This window comes from Homo sapiens, chromosome 18 (assembly GCF_000001405.40).
Source record: "Homo sapiens chromosome 18, GRCh38.p14 Primary Assembly".
NCBI classification, from domain to species: Eukaryota; Metazoa; Chordata; class Mammalia; order Primates; family Hominidae; genus Homo; species Homo sapiens.
The window spans coordinates 23220112-23246201 of record NC_000018.10 but is presented as its reverse complement, the minus strand read 5'-3'; the positions used below and the strand labels follow the sequence as shown (position 1 = coordinate 23246201).

The window sequence follows — 26090 nt, the reverse complement described above, 5'->3', positions numbered from 1 at the left end:
GCCTCTGCCTCCCAGGTTCAAGCGATTCTTTTGCCTCAGCCTCCTGAGTAGCTGGGACAACAGGTGTGCACCACCACACCCGGCTAATTTTTGCATTTTTAGTAGAGACAGGGTTACACCGTTGGCCAGGATGGTCTCGATCTCCTGACCTCGTGATCTGCCCACCTTGGCCTCTCAAAGTGCTGGGATTACAGGCGTGAGCCACCGTGCCCGGCCGGGACCACTGTTTTCAATGCCACCTAACTCCAGGCCATGGGATTCACCAGATGAAGGGCTCCTTGTGGCCCGCAGCAGGCCCAGGCTGTGTGATGGATGGGGGGTTCTAACCCTGCAGCAGGCAGTTGTGTTTTTTGCAAGGGTGCTCATTCCGCTCATGGAGCGAGAGGTCACTTGAATGCACTGTCGAGCACTTGAATGCCTGGCTGCAGGGAAGCTGTGTGCACAGCTGCGTACAGGGAAAGGAGAAGGTCAGATGGAAGGCACTGTCCACAACACAGATGTCCAGAGATGCAGTTCACAAGGAGGCCCTGCCTGGCCTGCCCTGCTGGAGACAGTCTGGAAGGGCTAGAGTGGGAGTAGACAAATTCCTTCTGAGATAACAGGAAAAGAGAAGACCACAACTTAGTTATCCAGATGAAAAGTCTCCCATATCGACTGCAGAAACACTGATACCTATTTCGCTTTTTTTTTTTTTTTTTGAGACAGGATGGGTGACTCTGTTGCCCAGGATGGAGTACAGTGGCACTCACTGCAACTTCCGCCTCCCGGGTTCAAGCGATTCTCGTGCCTCAGTCTCCCAAGTAGCTGGGACTACAGGTGCACGCCACCACGCCTGGCTATTTTTTTTGTATTTTTTGGTAGAGATGGGGTTTCGCCATGTTGGCTAGGCTGGTCTCCAACTCCTGACCTCAAGTGATCCGCCCACCTCAGCCTCCCAAAGCGTTGGGGTTACAGGCATGAGGCACTACGCCCGGCCCATCCTTTGCTTTGTACAAAAACAAAGTCTTGACTTGTCATGAGAAGAGGGAAGGGGCCTCCATGGAACTGAACTTGGGCCCCATCCTGGCCCACGGTAACAATGCTGTGAAGTGAATGCCCCTCAGGTGGGCTGGGGTATAACGGGAGGGGATGGGAGGTACACACACCTCAAAAACAATCCTGGAGAACAGTGAGGGTCTCAGAGCAGACAGGTTGTTGGTCTGATTCCAACAGAAACAACAGAAAAGGTACTTCCGCTCTAGGGCGGATAAAGCTCCGGCCTCCTTCATTTCCTACTTTCCTGTCTTCAAGTTTCCCCAGGAATTCTTATGAGCAGTTCTAAGCAGATGTGAGCTTGCCGTACACTCGGCCACTGTTCTCTGACCTACTGCCAGCCCTAGTGCTGCCTGCACCCCAGGAGCTAGCTGTAAGACCTGGGGCAGGTATGCAGCCGCTGCAAGCCTTGGTTCCACACCACGCCTGTGAAAGGAAGGAAGGATACAAGGCAATGAGCCACACAGCTCCTTCCAGCGCCAACAGCCACTGCGAAATTAGGCTCTTTTGCTTTGGCCATACTTGTATACCGGCATTCGGGCTCAGCTGGGCACTGGAAAGCAGCTGTTCCGTGCTTGTTAAGGTAATTAAGCAACGGTGGCCCTCGACTAAATCTATCTAACCACCAACAGATGGGCATTTCAGCTGTTCTAGGCATTTAATCCTTTCCCTTAGAGGACAGTAAATCACAAGGAAACTATGGAAATAAACGGGTAGCCTACGCAGCCTGGGGCTGCATTTGTTGCTATTTCTACCCATCGAATTCAAAATACCGAATCCTGGATCAACTCTCCCTCCCACTGAAATGAAAGGGTTTGCACACGGAGAGGAACACAGGAAGAAAAGCTCTCTCTGCTTCAGGTTTACATGGCCATGGGGATTCACTGGGTGGCACAGAGCATGTTCAGTGTCAAATATTTGTCAACTATTTATCTGGTGCTACAGGACTCCTGGAGTAGTGTCTCCATCCACTTGAGATGACACCAGGTGACTGGCCCTGAGATCACCCACACCCAGAGAGTATTTGGATGCACTTCTAAACGCAAGCTGCTGAAACAGTGGCAGTAGAGAATGAGCCAAACTGCGTGGAACGTCATGTTCAAAATCACGAAGTGATTGTCAAAAATCCGAGACAAATACATAGAAAGAGAGCAGATGTTGCAATATCCTGGGTGAAATGTCAAAATCACGAAGCGACTGTCAAAAATCTGAGACAAATACATAGAGAGCAGATGCTGCAAAATCTTGGGTGAAATGTCAAACTCTTGTTTTGTATTAGTTTTTTTTTTTTTTTTTTGAAACGGAGTCTTGGTCTTATCGCCCAGGCCGGGGTACAGTGGCGTGATCTCGGCTCACTGCAACCTCTGCCTCCCGGGTTCAAGCGATTCTCCTGCCTCAGCCTCCTGAGTAACTGGGATTACAGGCACCTGCCACCACACCTGGCTAATTTTTGTATTTTTTAGTAGAGACGGTTTTGCCATGTTGGCCAGAATGGTCTCAAACTCCTGACCTCAGGTGATCCACCCGCCTTGGCCTCCCAAAGTGCTGGGATTACAGGCATGAGCCACCGAGGCCTGTGTTAGTTTTATGAGAAAAAAATGAATTGTAAAAGAGGCTTTAAAGAGGTGAATTGTATGGTGTTGGAATTCTAATAGTGCTGTTAACAACAACAAAAAGACCAAAAAAAAAAAAAAAAAAAAACACCAAACCCACACCCAAAACAACCCTCCCTCCCCCACACAGCACAATCAGGCATTTCAGGCCTTGATGTGAACACTTAACCTAAAGCTGGCAGGATGCTCCTCAGCTACTGCCCAGGCCTGTGCGCCTGAGGGCGCCCTTCAAGCCTCAGGGAAGTGCCACAATAATAGGGAAGTGCGGAGCTACTGTGCTTCTAATGTGATGTGACATTTTCTTAAAGAGGCCCCCTCCTCAGAACTGAATAAGCCTCAGGCACCTTGAAACCTGAGGCCATGGAAAGGGTCTTGCATTAGCTTCCCAACAAATCCACCCTGCAGACAGGTAACAAGTGCCTAAATCATCCAGGTAACTTTTAATGGAAATAGATATATATATAGTTCTATATTCTATATAAATTATAATAAATATATGAGTATGTTATTAAATTATAACTTATCTATATTTATAAATATATATTTATACTGTATGTATATTGGGGGACAGGCAGAATCTAATCACCTACCTCATGGAAGGCTGAATTAGTCTTTCTTTCATTGAGTCAATTACTTCCCACTGCTCAGCATCTCATGCTGTACTGAAAAATTAAGTTCTATGATACATTCCCCCAACACTGGGGAGATGTAGGGGTAGAGGGAGGGCTTTCTCTACAAGTACTTAGATTTTAATATTCGGTAAATAAAAAATAGGCATTTTATCATGGAGATTAATCCAAGAGGTTTCTCTTGAGGTTTACATGCTTATGCATATCATAAACAATGTTAGTCGGTTTTCTTTTTGATGTGAACACAGTGCAAGAGGGATTTCTTACAGAAGAAAAGAATCCAGAAATCCATTCAGGTAACTGAATTTTGTTGGCATTATCTCAGCTCTCCCACTTACTTTCTCCTCTTAATTGCCTTCCACACCCATAAAGAGGGGGAAAAAAACACAAAAACCCACTACCGACCTGGGCTGCCACGTTCTAATGATACATAACCACTCTCTCATGAAGCTTTAATTATATGCCAAGAGGTGCAGAGAGCTGGAAGCATCCGCCCTCCCCTGAGACACACCATCACCCAGCAAGAGTCTGCACGTAGCCAGGTGGCTCAACATTCTCTGTTCTGTGGTCACCTTCTAGAAACTTGAAGACCAAACCACCGGGCCAGCTGCAATTTGTTTTGCACACCTGCCCCAGGAATTTTTTTTTTGAGACAGAGTTTCATTCTCGTCACCCAGGCTGGAGTGCAATAGTGTGATCTCAGCTCACTGCAACTTCTGCCTCCTGGGTTCAAGCGATTCTCCTGCCTCAGCCTCCTGAGTAGCCAGGATTACAGGCGCCTGCCACTACACCTGGCTCATTTTGTTGTATTTTTAGTAAAGATGGTGTTTCACCACGTTGGTCAGGCTGCTCTTGAACTCCTGACCTCAGGTGATCCACCCGCCTCGGCCTTCCAAAGTGCAGGGATTACAGGCGTGAGCCACTGCACCTGGCCCGGAATTTTTTTTTAAGTTCAAAATCTCACCCTTGACCTTCTACAGTAGGTAACAGTGGGAGTGACTTGCATGGATCAAAGTTTAAAAATACAGATATGGGTGCAAGGCTAATTTGAAAAGGGTGCCACTTGCACACTAAATGACAGGCTTCACCTCTGGAAGCTTCCCACTCTAAGACATGTCCTGACTGTGGCGACGAGGGGCCTTTTTATATTACACTTAGGACACACACGCACAAAGATAAACATTCAGCTACATCATGGCTGGTTAATATCACCTACACCAGGACTCAGAAGTCCCACTCCTAGGTATTTACCCCAAGAGAAATTAAAAAGTATTTCCACAGAAAGCCATGCACAAGAACATTCATGGCAGCCGCATGAACAAATATCTATCAACAGGAGGAGGGATAAACAAACTGTACTACATCTTATATCACTGAGCATTTTTATTTTTATTTTTTTGAGACGTAGTTTCGCTTGTCGCCCAGGCTGAAGTGAATAGTGTGATCTCGGCTCACTGCAACCTCCACCTCCCGGGTTTAAGCGATTCTCCTGCCTCAGCCTGCAGGGTAGCTGGGATTACAGGTGCCTGCCACTATGCCCAGCTAATTTTTGTATTTTTAGTAGAGACAGAGTTTCATCACGTTAGCCAGGCTGGTCTTAAACTCTTGACCTCAAGTGATCCCCCCACCTTACCCACCTCGGCCTCCCAAAGTGCTGGGATTTATAGGCGTGATCCACTGCACGTGGCCCACTCAGCAATTAAAAAAAAAAATCTACTGACACACATGACATGGGGAAATCTCACATGTTAAGTTGTATGAAGGAAGATGGACCCCAAAAAGTATATGCCATGATCCTATTCACATGAAGTTTCAGAATAGGTAAAACTAATCTATGGTGACAGAAGTGAGAATAGTAATTGCTTTTGCAGGAAGGGGATGGGAAGAATGGGATGGGGAGGAGAACTTTCTGCAGGGACAGAAATGCTCTATATCTGGATCAGAGCAGTGGTTACAGAATTCATGGAAATGCACACTTCAAACAAACAAGTGCATCTGATTGTCTGTAAATTACTCCTTTTAGCGGCTGCAGCAGGATTTGATGGGTGAAAGGATTAGCTCATCACTTTGAGAGCTGCTTCATTCAGCAGAGGCATCTCAGAGTCTGATTTCCACAGGAACAGGACATCCCAAAACAGGGGAGGACAGTCCCAGGATTTCAGGTGGGCGCCTCTGCTGGGCTGGCCACATTGGACTGCCCTGGGGGCCCGAGGAAGACGGGACAGGCAGCAGGACTCTGGGGCTTTGGAAGCTAATACTAAGGGAGGTGAGCAGCTCTGCATAATTGGCCTGTGACCAACAAGCCTGCTCCTTCCCCAATCACTGAGCATTCCCACCCAGGAGGGAATCTGCCCTCTGTCTGGGCAGAGATCCTCACACTAGCCTAGTGGCCAAATGTGCCCCAGGCCCTCAAAGAGGGCATTCCACAACCTGGCTCAAAGGAGCCAGGGTCTTTGGAGCCAGGGCCTGTTTCAGCGGCAGCTCCCTGTGCCTGGGGCCGAGTCAGTGGGGAGGGAGGGTTTGTCGGCATCATCATTTGTGGGCTCTGCCTCCTGCCTGTGTGTGTGTAGGGGGAAGGGCAACGACTTCTACAGTTAGAAAAATCTATTTTATGCAAAACCAACCCCCTTCCTACTTTGGGGTCTTTCCACTGGGCTCTCCCTACCAAAACCTGGTGGGGCCAACCACTCTCAGCCCTCAGTGCTTGCTTCAGTGCCATTCCTCGGGGAAGTCTTCCTTGAGGCCTACCCCCTGGGGCCCACGTCCAACCCTTCCATCATTTCCTGCCGCTGTTTTTGTTTTGTTTTGTTGAGACAGGGTCTTGCTTTATTGTCCAGGCTGGAGTGCAGTGGCACAATCTCAGCTCACTGCAGCCTCTGCCTCCTGGGTTCAAGCAATTCTCCCACCTCAGCCTCTCCAGTAGCTGGGACTACAGGCGCGCAACACCACACCTGGCTAATTTTTTTATTTTTAGTAGAGATGGGGTTTTACCACGTTGGCCAGGCTGGTCCCAAACTCCTGACCTCAGGTGATCCACCTGCCTTGGCCTCCCAAAGTTCTGGGATTACAGGCGTGAGCCACCATGCCTGGTCTCCTGCTGCTTTTCTAAGATGGTTCCTTCCTCACGATTATGGTGCTCTGTCTCCTTGTTTACTGTTTACTCTCTGACATCCCCACTCACTCCAAGGTGGAGGAGAAGAGGGGTTGTGGCTGGTTAGTTCTCTACTGGGTAAGGAAGCTTGGCTCATAATAAGGCCTCAATCAATACTTGGTTCAACAGGCGAATTCTATACCTGTTCCCCAACACACAAAAATAAAGCAAACACCCCAGCGCCCCCACCCCCAACTGCCCCACTCTGTTTCCTACAAGTTCAATGCAAATGCATGAGAAACGGCCTGTAACCCATGTCGGCTTCTAGGAAAGAAGTCTCCAGGGAGCTGGGGGGTTGAGGCCCTTTGTAATACACAACACACTGTCAAGAACTTAGACGAGAATTCTGAAACGTGGATTTCCCACATTTTATCAAAGTGCCAACATCTGTGGCCAGAATAGGAAACATAGGTCTCCAGGAGCCGACCAGGAAAATGCAGTCCATGCGCAATTCCATTCTCTATAGCATGGACTATTCCCAGAAGCACTGACTGCAGAGCCAATGCAGTGAAATTAAAAATGATCCACTTGGGAACATCAAATGAGGAGGGCAGGACATACATGCTGACTTGGCAAGTCTTCTAGCACAGTCTAAGGAGGAAAAGTTGTATGTGTATACGTGCACACGCACATACACACATACTGCGGCCTGGAACCTCAAGGCTCACAATGAAATCATTTAAAGAAAAAAAAGATCAGATAAAAAAGATCAGATCTAGCACCAGCCCAACACTAGGCCTATAAAAGGAGAGGTCGGCATTATCACCAGGCACGTGTCTGTTAGGACAGCTCCCGCCAACATCGAAATAGTGTACCTTCCTATTCTCTTGGTTACCTAGAAATCTGCTACACTGTTGGCCCAAAGAATGATCTTCATGTCCAACCCCGAGGTCGGCAGTTGTGGGGCTGACTGCTGAGGAATGTGGAATTCAGAGACAGCTGGGCAACGTGAAAACAGCCTCGAGCCAGGAGCTCTAGCCTGGATCCCCCATTTCCTGTCTATCAACTAGGAAAGCCTCACTTGGACTCCCTGAGCCAGTTTCCTGGCCATGTTGCTTAATAAATAAAGTGAATTTTAATAAGTAAGGCAGTGAACCACATAAAGCATCCTTATTCTTACACCAGTTGCTCCCTCCTTGACATCAGGGCAATCATTCTGGTCATTTATTGAACACTTATTACGTGCTTGCCTCTGCCAAAGATGAATATGCCCTGGTTTTTTAAATAAACAGATCATAGAGTGGAAGAAAAGTAATTATACATGACTCTGATTTTGCTTTCTGTGTTAGAAGTTGGGGCATGAGTGAGGGAGAGTGAGGAGAAGCGGCAATTTCAAACTAAATGCCTTTGACTTGAATAAATTCTCCAATGACTAAATGCATTCTGACGCCGTGTGGCATACGAAAATGACCACTGAACTATGTGCCAAAGAACAAGAGGATAAGTGCTGAAAGTAACTGGCAAGGCCCCAAGTTCTGCCTGGTGTTTCTCTGACAAACAGCGGAGAACCCTCAGTTCTGAATGAAGATCTGGGTTTCCTTTGAGTACGGGGGATTGGTTTCCACTCTGGCTACTGCAGACACAAAAGCCGAGGGGAGAAAAAAGACCCCCTGGTTCACTCCTAAGGCTGGGGCTCCAGAGAACAGCTCAGGCTGGGAGCACAGGAGGGAGGGAACCAGAGGAGGAAGCGCTCGGCTGTGCCGGCCCCGCCAGGCCCGGCTCATGGGCCAGGACATGCAAAACGCAGGGAGGTGGTGGGGGCATTCTGGGTGGATGTCTCCCACCTGATGCTGTGCATGGCAGGCCTGGCCAATCGACTGTTCTGAAAGTGCAGCTCCCCCTCCTCCCACAGCAGGCGGGGCTCTGCTTGCCGCAAGAGTCAGGGCAAGTCGGCCCAGAGAAAGCGCCCAGGGCCCCGCCAGGCCCCTCTGGTGTCTGCAGAGGAGATGGCAGCCCTTGGTGGTGGGAAACAGTGGTCAGCCGAGAGCAGAAACCAAAATTACACACAGGGAAAAACAGGAAGAGTCCATGAAATAAAAACAGCAGAGAAAGGTTTTGCATGTAACACCCACAGTGTCCTACTTTCACTTTCCCAGGAGAGAATTCTGTCATCCCCAGCCTGGGGCCAAATGTTTGCTCAGCATGCACACGAAGGCCTGCAGCCACCAAGGAACTCCAAACGGAGCTGGACTTGAACTCAGCGCTACCAGGGATGGGCCTGGTCCTCTCCACGGGGGTTTGTGGAGGTATAAGCTCGGACATCCCCCTTCAGAGGAGAGGGTCCCCCAACCTGAGCTGGTGACTTTGTGGACACTGGCAGCCCAGCCTTGAAAGTGGTGTTTGCAGGCCAGGTGGCCAGCAGGATTCTGGACAGGAGGCAATACTGGTCCTTCCGTGGGCACCCACACCGGGGAGCTCCTCATGAAGGTCCCCCAGGCAGAGCAGTCTTTGAACAAGCCCCCAGCCGGCCACCAACCCAGGTGGGGCAACTGACGGTGCAGCAAACGGAGCCTCCATTCCACGCTACTCACCATGTAGGAAGGGAAGATCAGAACGCGTTTGTGTTTGCCACAAGGCCACTGGGGGTCATCCAAGAGATTTGGGTCATAGTCCATAAAGTCTCCCAGGTCACTACCTGAAGATCACATGCAAAATGCAAAATGATAATTAGCGGCTCCGGACCCTCCCCAGCAGAGACAGCCAGGAGAATGCCAAGTATAGCTGGAATGAAGAAAGGCTGGCTTTAGGGCACTTAGCTCAACGTCACGGCACTCACTGACTTTTATTAGACATCTCCGTGTGCCAGTGAAGTGGATTCTCCTCTTAAAAGGGTTCACCAAATTGTTAACATCCTGACATTTTTTTCCATTTTAGAAAATTATGTCTTAATCTCCCTGGGCCAGGAGAGCAAAAAACTTCACACAGCGTGCAAGATGCAGAAGACACTCTCAGAGTGTGGCCCCGAAGAGGTTCCTTTTTCAAACTTGCAGATCAAATTTGGAGACGCCTGTGCAGCACGATTTGGTGCGAATACTTCCAGGCATGCTATTGTGTCCGTATGAATACAAATCAGAGCGGCCACCAAGGCACAGCTGCGAACGATCAGAGGTGGCCGGAACACTAGGACAGGGATTCAGAACTCAGCACTTGGGCAGACCTAGGGAACTTCACATCCACCTGGAATTTCCCTGAGAGTAGACACGGCACTGCTTCCTAAAGTGTTTTCTCCACGTGCCAGTTCTTACAAAGGTTTGATCAGCAAAGCTGGAAGCATGCAAGTCTTCCTTCAGCCGCCAACTCAGCTCACCCACCAAGATAGGCACAAAGGAAACTCTCACACCTGAACCTGCACTTCAGAGCCCAGATTTTTTTTTTTAAAGTCCGAATTGAGCACCATGAAAATATAGGACAGAACCAGGTCATTGTTGGGGGGAGCTGAGTGGTCAGGGAAGCTGGGAGACACAGCCATCTCTACATGGTGTGCACGGCCTTGGCGTCTCTCCACGTGGAAGCTCAGGCTGTCAACGACTGGGTCATCTGATTAGAGAGAAATCACCTGCGGCTTCATTGCGGGCCTGCATGGCTTGAGATCAGGCTTTCCTAAAAGTCATGTCACCTGCGAGCCCCTGTCTTCCAGTCTGCATCACAGGGAGACTCAATCCCCATGTAAATGGAGGCACCTCCCTCCCACCACGAGCTACCAGACCCAGCCAGGCCAAGGTTACCTGTGTCGAGGCTCCCCTGGGTGCCGCTTGCCCGGCCTATGGAGAGGCTGCGGTGGCTCAGGTTACGGAACTGGGAGAAAGAGGAGGTGGAGTCTATGGTATTTCTCCGGGCTCCAAAGGCATTTGTGGGTAACAGAAATTGGGTATAGGAAACAGTCTAAAAGGTGAAGACAAAAACAGGCCAGTGATTATTCCCAGGCATTGCTAGCTCTGCATTCTGATCAAGCTACAGTTGTCACCCCACATTCAGGTCCACTTTCTCCTATTTGCAATTCTGAAATTCAATGAGATCTGAAAAATGAAATTTGTTTTGGTACTCATTGGTGCCAACACCCAACCTGAACTGACATAAGGCTACAGAGTTTTAATTTATCCCACTGGGTCTGACTATTCCTATTACATGGAAGAAATGTGAATGTATTTGACTATAAGGTACTATCTCAGGACCTGCTGTGGTGTTGTGTAATCCACAAGGCACACGCTGCATTGCTTTTTATAATCCAAGTGCAGAAGCCCAGAACACTTCAGGCCCCAAGAGTCCCTGGTGAGGGCCATGGCCTCCTACCCTGCTCCTCTGGCAGACGCCACATATGACCCTCCACTCCATCCCATCCTTCCTGGCTCCTATGGGAACACTTCCTCGTTAGGGGTGAACAGAGCAAGTGCATTGATTTTCACCTGCCCAGGCGAGCATCTCACATGCGCTCTATCTACACCTTGAGCTCCCAGCAGCCTCATCGGCAAACAAACTACCCCGGGACAGATTCCCCAAGAAACACTTGCGTCATTGCCATACACAGATTTTGAAAGGGTTGATGAGGACCGTCTGGACCCTGCACAAAGGGCAGGGTCATCTTTCAACCTTTCACTCCTGAGACTTCAACCCCACGACTCGTTGCATGTGGATGGAAGAGGAATGTGACCGCCCTGGGGCTCTGTGGTCACAGTGTAAGACTGAGGGTCTCTTAGCTTCCCAGGACCATGGGAAGCTATGACACTTTCTAGTAGCCTGAATATTGCTTGCTGACACCACTAGTTAATAGATGTTCAATCCATTCGTCATTCCATCCTGGAACATGTCTGTGTGTGAGGTACTCAAAACTGTACATTCAGTTGTAAACAGCACTGACAGAGAAATACACATGCTGTGGGAACTCCTGCCATGCTGCTACTCAATCACCGGCTGCACACTAGGGGAGCCGGGCAGGCTGGCATCACATGCCTGGGAATCTGCCCCAGACCTCGAGTCCTCCACCTCAAGAGAGGCTTGTGGGCTGCCCCCCTCCTCTGCTTCCTGACCCTTGTGCCTTCAGCACAACTTGGTGACTGGCAGCCTGGCAGCCTTACCTTCCCATCAGCACCCAGCTCCACACCTTCCAGACCAATGATCTCTTTCAAACTCACTGCACCAGTTGATTGTCTTCCTCCGTCCAACTTCAAGTCCCTGGGAGGACAAGTCAGAGGAAAAAAAAATGCTTTTGTGTGCACCTCAAAGAGCCATGAGGATGCTTACTCCATGAGACAACACAGTCACACCGATGAAAATGACCAGGTGAGCCCTGGTGATGGGACAGCCCGTTGTCCCTCTTCGGGCGCTTGCCAGTGATGCCTTGTTGCAACCACTTTGACATAAATGAAATCCAACTGAACAGAAAGCCTGAAGATGAAGCTGATGGTTTACAGACATCCCTCCCTCTTCCATGAGGCCCCTTATATTCCTAGAGACGGCCAATGAACATGAGGCCAGAGAGCATTCCCTGGGCATCGTGGGACCACAGTTTGCTGGGATCTAGCTGCTGGGTTCTTTCTTTCTTTGTTTTTTTGTTTTGTTCTGAGACGGAGTTTCACTCTTGTTGCCCAGGCTGCAATGCAATGGCACGATCTCGGCTGACTGCAACTTCTGCCTCCCAGGTTCAAGCGATTCTTCTGCCTCAGCCTCCTGAGTAGCTGGGATTACAGGCGCGCACCACCACGGCCGGCTAATTTTTTGTATTTTTAGTACAGACGGGGTTTCACTATGTTGGCCAGGCTGGTCTCAAACTCCTGACCTCAGGTGATCCACCCATCTCAGCCTCCCAAAGTGCTGGGATTACAGGCGTGAGCCACAGCAGCCAGCCTGGGTTCTTTCTAATGCTGCATGAGACCACCTCTCCTTGCTGCTCCCCTTTCTTAGGAGAAATGAATTCTTATCCTAAACACCTACTGGGTTTATTGTTGGTGATGAAAGAATTAATGCCACAGTAGTCACTTCTACCTTGACAGACCACCTAGAAAATGAATATCTTTTAATAGAGGAATAATCTCTAGTAATAACAAGTAATCATTCATTCATTCATTCAGGGATGAAGCCTTGCTCTGTTGCTCAGGATGGAGTACAGTGGTGTGATCATGGCTCACTGTAGCCTCAAACTCTTGGGCGCAAGCCATCCTCCCGTCTTGGCCTCCTAAAGTGCTGGGATTACAGGTGTGAGCTACCATGCCTGGCCAAACAAGCATTTATTTAGCACTTTACTATTTCCAAAGACTCACACATCATTTCTTTGGTTCTTTAAGATGACCCTATGAGAAAGGTACTACTATTTTGATCCAATTTACAGAGGAGGAAACTGAGGCCCTTGGGAGATTGCCAAGGTCACCAGGACGGTAGGTTGGAGAGTTCATCCAATGTCATTTCTAGTACATCACATTGCCGTGGAGATGCAAGATGGACCTATGCTCAGGTGTAACTGCTCACACCTCAAAGGACCACACCCTTCCCCTACGGTAATTTTTAAAATTTGCCACATATCAGAATTGTACGGGGATCTCTGACAAACTGTTATCTGGCTCCCACCCCCAGGCAGTTGGCATGGGCTGTGACCTGGACACCAGGAGTTTTAAACACTCCCCAGGCGATTCTAAACTGCAGCCATGTTTGGGAATGACCAGGTCTTCATGTTCTGACATCCAGTGCCTGTTAGTCAAAGGCACCTCAGACCCACAGCATACTTGCTGTGTGGCCTGGATGGAGGGACCATATTCAGGGGTCATCTCCTACAACCTATGCAAGAACGAATATAAGGCAGGGGCAAATTGCTCCCAGCCAAAGACAAAGTCATCAGGTAAGAAGAGAGGAGGGAGCCAAGCGAGTGGTGAGAAGAGAAGGGAAAAAAGCTATCCTCCAATATAGAAAAAAAAACAGGGATGCTCTGATTCTGTTGAGCCATCATCCTAGTCTCTGGGCATTACATGAATGAGCCGGCTCCCTTATCCTACCCATAATGTGGAGTCTAATTAACAGAAATGCCCAAGACCTTCTGTGCCCAGTAAGTGCTGCATTTCCACAGCAGGCTTCCTGGGAGGCCATGGTAGTGCCACCCTCAAAACATCTCTGGAGTCCCGTTCAGAATCGACACCAAAGTCATGCAGAAGAAAGCCAACAACCAACTCTGTTCACACCCACAAGACCGTCTGCCCTACTGCTGCAGCTGCTATGCAGGCACCCCAGGGCGATTCTCAAAAGGCTTCTTAAAGCAATTAAGGATGGAGATGATGAATGCACAGGGGCACTGGCATAGGGAAGTGCCTACAAAGCAAAAACGTGAACAAGGCAATGAAGCAAAAATACCTGCGGTGGGCAGGGAGGGAGGGGACTGACCACATGCAGAGCAGGACAAAAACAGCAGTGTCTTCCTTTTCATTCAAGGACCAGCAGCTCAGTTCCATGGGCTTCCTACTTTTCCAAAGCCAAAGCCAGCAAGCATGGTCTTCAAATTCCCAACTCCCAAATAATTTTCTCCTTGTTTCCATTTTGCCAGATGGAGAATGTTACTTAGGGCTGAAATTAAGAGAGAAGTAGGGAATATCTTTTTGGAGTGAGTAGGCCAAGGGAAATAAGGAGAATTCCAATAAGCCCATACTGAGAGGGTTCTCAGATGGAGAGCTGGCTGCAGGCAGGGGCAGTCTCAGTCCATTTTCATATCCTGTCTATACAACGTCTGATATGTAACGAACTATTTACTGAGCTGAGCTAGTGTGGCTCTTTGCTGTCTCGCCGGTACTGGTACATGCAGATGGCATGAAACTTGGGTGATTTTCCACTGTGCCCCTTTTCATCTGTCTTCAATTTGCTCACAGGCTCACTGCTTCCCCGGGGCAGCCTTGTCCTGGCCAGCTGTCTGCCTGCCGCCAAATGTGCACATCACACATCACAGTTAACAGAACCAAACCAGTCGCGCCTCTTCCACACTCCCCTTCTTGGCATTTCCTCCAAAGGAAATGAAGCCCTAACAAAAAAAAAATATAGTCATGTGCTCGTATAAAGTCCAAGATTCTATTCCATGAGATAAAACCCAAACCCATTTAAAGAAACAGGGATTCTTAGAAACAGGGATTCCAGTGGATTGTCCAAGCGTCTCAGCGACACTTGGGACCACAAGAAAGACGGGCAAGGCTCCACCAACCCTACCCACAGAACTGGTCCCTCGAGAAATAACGTGACTCACTGCAGTCACCACTTCCCCCTGGCTTTCTACTTACGTCATTCTACTTTCTAAATTGCTAAGGCTAAGCCGAGTAAGAAAATAAGCAAGAATAGTGGGGCCACCCTCAACTGCTACTGGAGACACGTGAGGCTTGTTACAGACCAGTGCCACGCAACAGAACTTCCTGTGATGACGGAGATGGTCCTTATCTACCGTGTTCCATACGATGGTTACGTGTGGCAACTAAGTGCTTGAAATGTGAACAGTTGACTGAGAAACTGAATTTTTATTTAATTTTAATTAATTTAAATGTAAATTGCCACATGTGGCTAGTGACTACTAAGACCCAGTGCTTCCTTGGCAGGACTTTTGCTACCCTTATTTTATAAGTTCCTATGGCAAGATAATATAGTCATAGATACTCAGTGACATGGATTTGGTCTCCCAGTTTTCTTCCCAAGAGTGGCCTATTTTCTGCCTATTGCCTCTGGGGATGTTTAAATTACAGGCCACTGCAGAGGGAGCAGCAGTGCAAGATTCTCCTAAGTCGGAAGGGAAATGACCATGGGGTCCATGATCAAATGGGACCCATGCCTTGCACCATCAGCACCCCAAGAACAGGGCTCCCAGCCATGATAAAGATTCGTAATTCACATCTGGCACAGAGCAGCAGATCTTTTTGCCTGGAGGGGTCACGGGGCGGGTGTGACAGTTTTGGCAGTGCTAGGGCAACCAAAGGAACAACAACCAGCATGTGTTCCCCAAATCCTAGGCATTACAGTAGGTTCCAGGCCCTTCTTTGCACAATACTGGAGATGGGGAGGGAGGAATGCCCAGTGAAAAGTGAGTCTCAATTTCCCCTCAGCCTTGTAGAAGGGGGGTTTACAGTTCATATTAAGTAGATTTAAAAAGAAGAAATGAGGTATTTCTTGTACGCCAAAGCTAGTCACACTTCAAAACTTCGCTGATACAGTAATAAATATCATCTCAGCTCTAGAACACTGACAGCTTCGTGATGGCAGAGGGCAACTTTTCCACGCTTTTCCTCCCTCAGATTCAGGGAGAGGTTATCACTAACTTCAGGGCTACCATTTTGCTGGCCTGGAATTAAGAGCATACACGTACAGGCGTGGGCATAGTCAGCCGTCCACAGAAAACAAAACAGATCTCATTTCTAACAATGTCAGTTTCTTATAGGTTTTTTTTGTTTTTGTTTTGAGATGGAGTCTTGCTCTGTCACCCAGGCTGGAGTGCAGTGGTGCGATCTCAGCTCACTGCAAGCTCCGCCTCCTGGGTTCATGCCATTCTCCTGCCTCAGCCTCCCGAGTAGCTGGGACTACAGGCGCCTGCCGCCATGCCCGGCTAATTTTTTGTATTTTTAGTAGAGACAGGGTTTCACCATATTAGCCAGGATGGTCTCGATCTCCTGACCTTGTGATCCGCCCGCCTGGCCTCCCAAAGTGCTGGGATTACAGGTGTGAGCCACCGCGCCTGGCCCTTCTCATAGCTTTTTAATTTGTATATGTTAAGACTCTTGGGATCTAAAAAATACATCTTTCACAAAGAGGCTGACAAACTTTTCCGGGTTCATTCTTCTTAGGTAAGGGCTCTGATCAATGTTGCTGGAATCTTTCTGATATTAACATGAAACATGAAATTGCTGTTCTTTGGTCGTACTTGACCCCCATAAACAGCAGTTTCACATTGTGCCACATAGCTTAACAGCTCAGGCAACTGCTCAGTCTTTATGTGTGAGTGAAAAGCAGGCAAGACCCATGGTCTTTGCTGTCCCTCTCTTTTGGAAGCCTAGAACGTTGGAGTTGCATGCAGAAAGGAACTCTGAATGGTGGAGATTCGCTCCAAAAGAATCTTTTAAAAACTCCAGTGAGAAAGAATGAAGCAGAAGTCCCAGTGGAGTGTGATGAAATCTTGGTATTTTCTAAGATCATTGTTCTGAATTCTCATTAAAATGGTATATTAAAAATAGAAATATCTGTTTGGCTGAAATGCCAGCACTAACTCTCCAGCACCAGGAAATAGAGCTAGAGAATGTCGAACTGCAGCTGAAAGTAATTAAAAGCAAACTGAAGTTGAAGTTTTCACTTTCTTTGAAAGAGCCAGATTTTTCCCAGACACATCTAGTGTTCAAATACTAATTTATTTTTTAATAATTTTTGAGATGGAGTTTTACTCTTGTTGCCTAGGCTGGAGTGCAGTGGTGCGATCTCGGCTCACTGCAACCTCTGCCTCCCAGGTTCAAGCGATTCTCCTGCCTCAGCCTCCCGAGTAGCTGGGATTACAGGCGCCTGCCACCACACCCGGGTAATTTTTGTATTTTTAGTAGAGATGGGGTTTCACCACGTTGGCCAGGTGGTCTTGAACCCCTGAACTCAGTTGATCCGCCCTCCTCAGCCTCCTAAAGTGCTGGGGTTGCAGCCGTGAGCCACCGTGCCTGGCCCTACTAATTTACTTATATTCCACTTCCTTTTAAAAATGGCATAGAGGCAAGTTCAAATACTACACATGAATATTGTCTAAAGTTGTGTATATTAGGTTAAAATGTTGCAGCTTTTACTCAGAGGTGAACACGGTTAGTCAGGTTATAGGAAGTGATCTCATTTCTACAGACACCCTAACTGAACTACTGGCAAGGAACTGTGGACGATGCAAGGTTGTCATTCCTTCTCTCTACAGTCCTGGGTAGCGCTGCAGCTTAGCCACATGTACCTAGAGGAGCTGCTTTCACATTCTGTGCAAGTTTGTGAACTTCTGCAGAGGCTGTAGGCAACAAGCACACTGAAAATCCAGCACAAAGATATATACTTTTTTTTTTTTTTTTTTTAAACAAAGGCTGACATTTAAAACTGGCCCACGGGGGTGGGGGAGTGGGAGTGACTGGAGGGGGTAAAAGGGAGGGACTCAGAAGATGGGGGTGGGGATTAAAACAGGAGGTAAAAGCACATTTGGGGAGACAGCCAAGCAGCAGTTATACCGTTAAGCAATGAGCAGAAAAACAGGCTGGTTCATTTTGGGAGTGTAAACTCATCCTTCATAGGATGGCACCAAAATTAATTTAATGTAGCTCTCCTTGAATGCCTGTAATTTCACTGTTAGAAACCCCTGGACCCCTGTCTTAGTTTTGGCTTCTTCAGCACAAAGCACACATGCACAGCTGTGGAGTCACCTGATCAAAGCAGGTGGCTAATCTAGCTATCTTGGGGCCAAAGGGGAATACCTAGGTCATTATTAATCATAAAACGGCCGACTCTGGACTTCATCTTTTGTAAAAGGCAAAATGATTTTTAGTTTCCTCTTCTGTGGCTCCCTGGCAGAGGCCCAGCCAGCTGCTCACTGAGCCATAATGCATGAAACAGATTCTGACAGGAAAACAAGATTCCCTATTAGATAACAAGAAGTTCAAGCTATGGCCCTTTCCTCAGGGAGCATGATCAATGAACTAATTAATATTACTCTCTTAAAAAAAGACAAGACTTAAATATCTAACACCTGGAAACTAGATGGAAAAAGTGTGATCCAATTAACTAGGTTCCAAGGCTTTCTGCTTCCAAAATGGAGTGGTCCTGACTTCTCTCCACCATCCTTTCTCTAATGGTGCTCTAAGCCCAAGAACTTGGAACACCTGCCAGGAGCTCCACTAGGCGCTAGCTCTTCAAAGGACAACAATAGGTTGAACACTTTGATGTGTCAATAATTTAAAAGCCAATTAAATATTAACAGGATTTCCAGACCCTTCAAAGAGAATAAGGAGTGAGAGATTTCCTGCACCTAAAGCAAAGCCTGAAAGCTGGATTACGAAAGGAAATACCACTTGTGAGCTAAATTTTAATTAAGAGATTACACATGGGCCGGAAGTCGACGACACAAGTCTTCCCCTTAGCTTAAGAGTCCCGTTTGTTGCCCTTCCGATACAGTGCAGCTGCCATCTTGGACCAGGCCTGCTTGCTGACATCAAGCAGAAGGTGCCTCCAGAGTTCAGAGACAATGGAACAGGGTCCACAGTTGATGGACAAAAGTGAAGTCAAAAGCAGCTTTTAGTCTAGAAGTCCCTTCCCACTCCCACTCAGGACTCCATCGATAAGCCATAAGCCATCCCCTGCAAGGGCAACTGGCAGACAATGAAGGGGTCTTAACGTAGCTTATGACCAAATCTTTGTCTAAAGGCAGCTCCTATAAACAGCCAGATAATGGCATGAGTCATCCATGAGATCATTCCAGAATCTGTCTCTGTGTGGGAATATGCTTGGTGTGAGGAAAGAAACACAATTTGTGAATGTGTAATTTTCCACAACAAAAATTTTCTGGGGAAAGTGGGTGGGGAGGAAGGGGGCATGGGCCTGGAGCCAGGCAGGGAGCATTTAGGCTTGAAGGCTCTAAGAATAGAAGACGCTGTTCTCTGTGTCGCAAAATGATCAACACTCAGGAAATGGACCCAAGCGGATGACCTCATCTGAATGCCCCCAATGCCAAAAGTTAAGGATATAAACACCATGTGGAAGCTGTTGACAATTTAAAAACACACCCCCCAGAGGCACCTTGCAACTCCACTGGGAAGCCATCTTCTTCATCACATGGTCTCTGATGCATCTGTAGTAAGTAAGTGACTCCTGCGACTATCATACAGTCAAGTATGGTTATCTTAAGGGGTGTGAACCTACACACACATCACAGAAACTCTTTTTGCTGGAATCATCTAGTTTGGTGATTTCACATAACCTCCAATCTCAAGTTTACTAGGTTCTCTCCTACTTTCTTCTGGTCGGATCCATGTGTACAGAAATACCAACCCACATCCAGATCTCAGGAAGTAAAGAGCACTTGGTGGCTGGTGTCGGTTCCCTTATGCATAGGGACAATTCTAGGACTAGTTCTCCATACAACACCTGCAGTCTCTCACTCACCAGTGGGTCGTGCTCTAGAAGCTCCTGGGCTGGCAAGTTGGAACTCAGAATGCATTTTTCATTGATGCAGTAAGTGGAGATTAGCCTACCCAAGGCTCTCTGAGCCTATAATGTAACTGAATCAGCCCAAAAGCAAAAACAAGAGCTCGGGTCATAGAAGCAAAAGGTCAGAGGGTGTATGAGGGTAAAAAAATAGGAGGAAGTTGAGTCTCTCCTCTTGGTTTCCTGGTCCAGGCTTGACCCTCAGGAACTTTTTTTTTTTTTTTTTGAGATGAAGTCTCACTCTGTTGCCCAAGCTGGAGTGCAATGGCACGATCTTGGCTCACTGCAACCTCCACTTCTCAGGTTCAAGCAATTCTCCTGCCTCAGCCTCCCGAGTAGCTGGGACTACGGGCACATGCCACCATGCCCGGCTAATTTTTGTAATTTTAGTAGAGATGGGGTGTCACTATGTTGGCCAGGCTGGTCTTGAACTCCTGACCTTGTGATCCGCCCACCTCGGTCTCCCAAAGTACTGGGATTACAGGCATGAGCCACTGTGCCCAGCTGAGTAACACTTTAAAGGTCAAGTTTGTATTATTTCACCTTCTTCTCTGAACTTCCCTTTCCTTCTTAGGACTCCAGGACCCTTTCCCCTAAGCTATTCCTGTTTTTCACAATTCCTTCCCTCTCTCTACATGTAAATCCATAAATTCCTTTGCAGGGCCCAGGTTTCCCACTCCTGGCCCTATGGCGGTGGCACAGTAGCCCACAATGGGGGCTGGAAAGCGAGGGGAAGAGAAGTGGTCTTGGATAGAAGTGTTGGACAAGCTGTTTACTAAGTGGGGTCTGCCTATTTAGGAAAGTTGAGAAAGTTGCTTGCAACTCATTTTGTGAGCTGAGGGTCACCAAGCCAAACCACAAATCCACACTAGAAAAGAGAAGGCCGTGACTAATGTGGATAAAAGGCAGAAAGATTCAGGCTGGCCTTGGCAAGTGTTAGTTGAGGAAAAAGGAGCTGGTTTAAGGCTGGGACTCTTCCCAGAAAATGGCATAATTTACAAGCTTCATCTGAGAAGAGTGTTTACAGCTATGGGAAGGTTTGATGTTACAGTTACAGTGAAAAAGCTGGGCAACATCTGTTCCTCTTCTCTGTAATGGGCTTGTTTTGAAAGGTAGGATTTAGCAAGAAAGATCAAAGCAAAACAATGGTCTCCTCACGTTCCATAAAGTGTATGCATTAAGAAAAAAAAAAAAGACTGGAAGGAAATAGACCAAAATGTAAATGGTGGCTTTGTTTAGGAGGTGAGGCTCAATAATTGTTATCTTCCTTTTACTTTTATACATTTTTCAAATAGTCTTTAAGAAACATGTACTATTGAGGAAAAAAAGACTGAATAAAAGCAGATCTCAAGGTGAATCCATTATTTGTAGAATTGCACCACTGACAAACTCACTGTGAACCTGACTGGGAACTGCTAAGTTCAAGTAGATCTAGAAAGAGCAACATAATAGCTCTGTGATGGCCGGGCACGGTGGCTCACACCTGTAATCCCAGCACTTTAGAAGGCCGAGGTGGGAGGATGGCTTGAGCCCAGGATTTTGAGACCAGCCTGGGCAGCATGGTGAAACCCGACTCTACAAAAAATACAAAAATTAGCTGGGCGTGGTGGTGCATGCCTGTCATCCCAGCTACGCAGGAAGCTGAGGTAGGAGGATCGCTTGAGCCTGGGAGGTCAAGGCTGCAGTGAGCTGAGATTGCACTACTGCACTCCAGCCTGGGCAATACAGTGAGACCTTTCTCAAAAAGAAAGAAAAAGAAGGCCGGGTGCGGTGGCTCACGCCTGTAATCCCAGTACTTTGGGAGGCTGAGACAGGCAGATCACGAGGTCAGGAGATCGAGACCATCCTGGCTAGCATGGTGAAACCCCGTCTCTACTAAAAATACAAAAAAATTAGCCGGGTGTAGTGGCGGGCACCTGTAATCCCAGCTACTCAGGAGGCTGTGGCAGGAGAATGGCGTGAACCCAGGAGGCGGAGCTTGCAGTGAGCCGAGACCCCGCCAGTGCACTCCAGCCTGAGCAACTGAGAGAGACTCTGTCTCCAAAAAAAAAAAAAAAAAAAAAAAAGCTCTGTGACTGGACAAAAATGGAAGTGAAACTAATGCTTAATGAATATCTACTACAGCTTTCACATATAATATTTCATTTACTATTTCATTCATCTCCCTGAGGTGGACATTATAGTCCTTTTACGGAGGAGTGAAGCTGGGGTCAGTAAGGCTAGTTCATTTCCCAGGACTGAGGCTTCTGCCTGCCAGCTCGTTCCCAAGCACCACACTGCCTCCCTGGCCGCCGGTGCCCATGGGTACACGACAGCAAGGATGGGTAAGGGCTGTGGTTTTCCTAATGGAGGCACCAAAGGAGGTGGATGGCAGGAGTGGGGATGAATGGGCTACTTGTGCCCATTCCTGATTCTCCAGAAGAGCTCTCTGTTTAGCTGTTTTATTTATTGGAATTCTATGTAAACTGATACTGGAAGAATGGCTTCTTCAGCTTAAAAAAAAAAAAAAAAAAGTGGAAGCCGACAGTCTCCAAGTTCCTTCCAGCTTTAAAAGACTATATTTGAGCTGAAGAGTGCTCCTTACTACGGAACTCATTTTTGGTCTGGCATTACCTTTACCTTAACTATCTTCCACTTCACATACCCTTTAATGAATTAGCTCAGGGCCACCCCAAGCAGAAGTGGCCGTGCAATCTATCCCTGGTAATGATTAGTGGGACTCTGGGATCAACAGCTGTGTTATTTGAAAGGCGTGGGCACAACCCATACCCAGTCTTTATTCAATGCATGCCAGTAAGTCCTGACAGCTTCCTAACACATGCACCTGATTAGAGATGGCCATGCTGGGCTTCAGAAGGGCCTGGCAATAAGGAGTAGATTGTGTGTGGATGAGTGCGGGTGGGTGGTGGCGGAGAGGATGCAGGCAGGGGCTTCAGTCCACCCTAGACACAGAGAGGGGCTCCAGGGACAGGATAGAGCATCCCACTCTCTACAGAACCGAGCTTGGGAAAAATGCCCCCCCGCCAACTTTTTTTTTTTTTTTTTTTTCTGAGACGGAGTCTCATTCTGTTGCCCAGGCTGGAATGCAATGGCGAGATCTCGGCTCACTGCAACCTCCACCTCCCGGGCTCAAGAGATTCTCCTGCCTCAGCCTCCCGAGTAGCTGTGATTTCAGGCGCCTGCCAGTACGTCCGGCTAATTTTTTGTATTTTAGTAGAGACGGGGTTTCATCATGTCGGCCAGGCTGGTCTCAAACTCCTGACCTCATGATTCGCCCGCCTCGGCCTCCCAAAGTGCTGGGATTACAGGTGTGAGCCACCGCACCCAACCAAAAATGCCCTCTTCTTACTCTAGGCTAGATGCAATCTGAATATGTCCTGCTCAATATGGGGCTGTGTGACTTACATGTTGCTCACATGCTGCTGGTTTGGAGATGTTCAGACAACCTGAGTTGGTAGAGGACTAGATAAACCTGTCAGCCAAAAGCCAGGGAATTCCAACAGGGCTCGAGCAAAGACTGCAGAAGCCAGTGTGACCTTATCTAAAGGCCCTTGGCATCCTTGGGCTTAACATTCAGGGTGCAAGTATTTGTAAGCGGCTCTGTAGGTGCAGAGCACTCGTGATCGGAGAGAACTGCACAGGCTGCGAGGCTAATGCGGGGGGAGTCACCTGGCTAGTGGGTGGGAGGGGCCTCGCTGGGGCTTAGCACTTGCATCTGGGTGCAGCTCGACGCCCTCTTTTGTCACTTCAGGCTTAGCAACTTTGACTTTCACTGTGGGTGGGACAGAGTCACTTGGAGAGAAGCAGGACCCTGAGGTCCATGTCAGCTCATCCGTGTTAGCACCTTCTGGGCCTTCCTTATGGCCAACCATCCAACTCCATCCTTTTATGGAGGTGCCCTCAAGGATGAGGTGCCAGGCTGAGGGACCCTGAGAGATGCACTTGCTTCTGCTGAAGCAGTCCGGCTGTCCTTTGTTGGGGCAATATATATCTATATCTATATCTATATCTGTGTATATATCTATATATCTAATTATATATATCTATATATCTAATCTATATATATCTATATATAGATATATATAGAGAGAGAGACAGAGAGAGAGAGAGAACGTGAGCACTATATTCATAAACATAGCAATTCTCGAAAGTTTCAGAAACCTTGCTTCTACTCACCCAACACATAAAACCAGAGTGACCACTACTTTCTGTGCACAGTGCTGCAGATACCTTGAGGATTAAGATGCAATCCACACCCACAAGTGAAAAATAAGTTAAAATGTATATTATAAGCCCTGAGACAGGAAGGGGCTCTTAGTGGAGCTGGGGGTGGGGGAACAGGTGCTGGGGGGCACTGAGAAAGCTGCCTGGAGGGAGGGCTGAGTATCCCCAAAGGTGAGGAGAGCCTGATGCATTAAGGAACTATGGGTAGCTTGCTAGGGCTGAGAGAGGAGCTGTGCTGAGAGAGGGCTGGAGAGGAACGCCAAGGCCAGAGCCTCAAGGGCCCTGTTTCTGTTAAGTCTGGGGGACCACAAAGGAGGTTTTAAGTTAGGCCTGACTGAATCCAGAGCTCCTGGGCTTTGGAAATCCGTTTGGACATCTATGCAGTCTCACTAGACACTGTCTTGTCCTTAACAGGAGCACACCTATGGGGAAGGAAGGCACCTTCTAAGCTTCTTAGCGACCCGTGGTTCCCTGAGGGCTCCCTCCTCGGCCAGGCTTGGATCAGGGGCTTGAGTTCTCCCTGATCTGGGGTTCTTCAGTCTCCCCAGGTTCAGTTTGGGGACAGGCAGATCTTTTGGTGAACCACTGTGGCAGAGACCATAGACTAGCTCATGATACCCAGGTAACTGTTAAAAACTACATTTTCCAGGCTCCCACAGGGGGCCTAGGTTCTGCTAAGTGGAAGCACTCATGGGAAACCTGGAGGTGGAAGTAACACCTGGGGAGATCAGAACTTCTGGCAAGCCTAAGGTGGGGGCCCCAGATGGCAGCGTCAACAGCACTTCCATGGGAAGAGCCCCAGGGTATGGCTGTAAGTGGGTCCTGGCTGTGTTACCCTCACTGTGTTGGTCCTGGGTGTCTGTGCTGGTTTCTGTCTGTCCTGGAAATCCTGTAAGGTACCTGAAAACCACAGCCCCACACCCCAACCATCAGAGGGGACTCCAATGTCTGCAACTCAGGACACTGAGCATACACTACCCTCTATTCCACGCCTCTGTGTCTCTCAGAGCCACTAGGGGTTCATGCTGCAGGCAAGACTTTGAATTCCTAAAGTAAAAGAACATGAAGACGGACAGTTATCAGAAGCATCTCATTATATCTAGCAGACGATTTCCTATCGAATTCAAGCAAACTCTGTAAATCAAACAATATTTTATGAGCAGTTTAGAAAGCTCTGTGGCCCTGCCACAAATCCTTTTGTGAAGTGAAGACATGCCTGGTACTGTGATAAGGAATCCTCTAATGCAACAATGCTGCACCCTTTCTCAAAGAGAAGCGTTCTTCATGTATGGTATCAGGACATGAGAAAGACCCTTACTGCTCCCTAAATGGCTTCCTGAAGGTGCTCAGGGGGCAACTTGGGTGTATCGGGGAAAAGGTGCCAGGGAGACTCGAGCTGGCAGCACTTCAGGGTCATGAGCCAGGAACACCCACACCTCTGCAGAGAGCCAGTGCATCAACACCATACAGACACCAGGAGAATTTCACCAGCTCCACACACTCCACACACCTTCCTATTCTAAAGACGACAAATATCCAGATGGGGAAATTACACAGATTATTTTTCACTTAAGACTCCACCCAGAGATGTCTGGTATTTGCCTTGGGAGCATCCAAGTCTGCAGGGTGAACCAGCAAGCTCCAAAGCCTTCTGAAAGCTACAACCCATCAGCTCAGCAGCTGGTGTCCCCAGAGGGCAGCCCGTGTGTGGCACACCTATGAGAGCTGTGACCTCCGAGCTCCATCTTCACCAAAATGCATACCAGTCAGCCAGTGCTGCCTGCCTGTACTGGTCCCGAGCCAGCACACCCAGCCCCAAAGGCGCGATCATGAAGGGAAACACACTTGGTTCTCAAGTGTGCATTCCAGCTTCCCGGGCTGAACCGGCTCCACAGCAGCAAACACAACAGGGCAGATCTGCGGCCACACTGCCTGCCCCCACCTACCCCCACCTACTGCCACTTGGGCAGTTGCTAAGCCTTTCTCAGCCCCTAGCCTCAAGTAAAATGGTAATACTGGCACCTGCCTTATGAGGCTGTTGGGCAGATGAAACGAGTGAGCGCATATAAAGCATGTGGACCAGTGCCTGGGATGCCATACACTGTAAGCACTATTCAGGATGTTTCTATTATTACCTCTATTTATCACATTCACACACATGCTTGACTGCACCCTTCGTTAATCCTAGAGAAATGTGCTTTTCTCTCAAATATCCACACCCATACATCACGGTAAGGAAGAGCATGCTGGAGACTGCGGTGGCTGTTAGATACTCGGGCAGTCTGCTTCAAG

General features: G+C 48.2%; 2 protein-coding genes across 6 annotated transcripts in view, besides 5 other annotated features; one reads left to right on the top strand and one right to left on the bottom strand.

Annotated features, from left to right (window-relative positions):
* The window catches only part of SLC35D4 (solute carrier family 35 member D4), a 199440-nt gene extending 191760 nt beyond the window's left edge, over nt 1-7680 (top strand). For both annotated transcript variants that reach the window (XM_047437896.1, XM_047437894.1), the window contains one exon: nt 1978-7680. In XM_047437896.1, coding sequence (XP_047293852.1) covers nt 1978-2008 — 31 coding nt within the window. In that variant the 3' untranslated portion in view covers nt 2009-7680. The remainder of the gene's footprint in view (nt 1-1977) is intronic.
* Nucleotides 1-26090, bottom strand: part of CABLES1 (Cdk5 and Abl enzyme substrate 1) — a 125907-nt gene that overhangs the window by 14269 nt on the left and 85548 nt on the right. For 3 of the 4 annotated variants that reach the window (NM_001256438.1, NM_001100619.3, NM_138375.3), the window contains exons 5-7: nt 11498-11594; nt 10151-10307; nt 8957-9060 (exon numbers count right to left, since the gene is read on the bottom strand). The exons of the other annotated variant lie outside the window; for it this stretch is intronic. In NM_001256438.1, coding sequence (NP_001243367.1) covers nt 8957-9060; nt 10151-10307; nt 11498-11594 — 358 coding nt within the window. The remainder of the gene's footprint in view (nt 1-8956; nt 9061-10150; nt 10308-11497; nt 11595-26090) is intronic. 4 annotated transcript variants of the gene reach the window in all.
* Nucleotides 8310-8429: an enhancer, noted in NCBI's record as "active region_13150". NCBI's record gives its function as "activates an Ori minimal core promoter by ATAC-STARR-seq in GM12878 lymphoblastoid cells {active_cell/tissue: GM12878}" and the evidence as "EXISTENCE:reporter gene assay evidence [ECO:0000049][PMID:35858748]".
* Nucleotides 8440-8629: an enhancer, noted in NCBI's record as "active region_13149". NCBI's record gives its function as "activates an Ori minimal core promoter by ATAC-STARR-seq in GM12878 lymphoblastoid cells {active_cell/tissue: GM12878}" and the evidence as "EXISTENCE:reporter gene assay evidence [ECO:0000049][PMID:35858748]".
* Nucleotides 14132-14181: an enhancer, noted in NCBI's record as "active region_13148". NCBI's record gives its function as "activates an Ori minimal core promoter by ATAC-STARR-seq in GM12878 lymphoblastoid cells {active_cell/tissue: GM12878}" and the evidence as "EXISTENCE:reporter gene assay evidence [ECO:0000049][PMID:35858748]".
* Nucleotides 14302-14461: an enhancer, noted in NCBI's record as "active region_13147". NCBI's record gives its function as "activates an Ori minimal core promoter by ATAC-STARR-seq in GM12878 lymphoblastoid cells {active_cell/tissue: GM12878}" and the evidence as "EXISTENCE:reporter gene assay evidence [ECO:0000049][PMID:35858748]".
* Nucleotides 19450-19549: an enhancer, noted in NCBI's record as "active region_13146". NCBI's record gives its function as "activates an Ori minimal core promoter by ATAC-STARR-seq in GM12878 lymphoblastoid cells {active_cell/tissue: GM12878}" and the evidence as "EXISTENCE:reporter gene assay evidence [ECO:0000049][PMID:35858748]".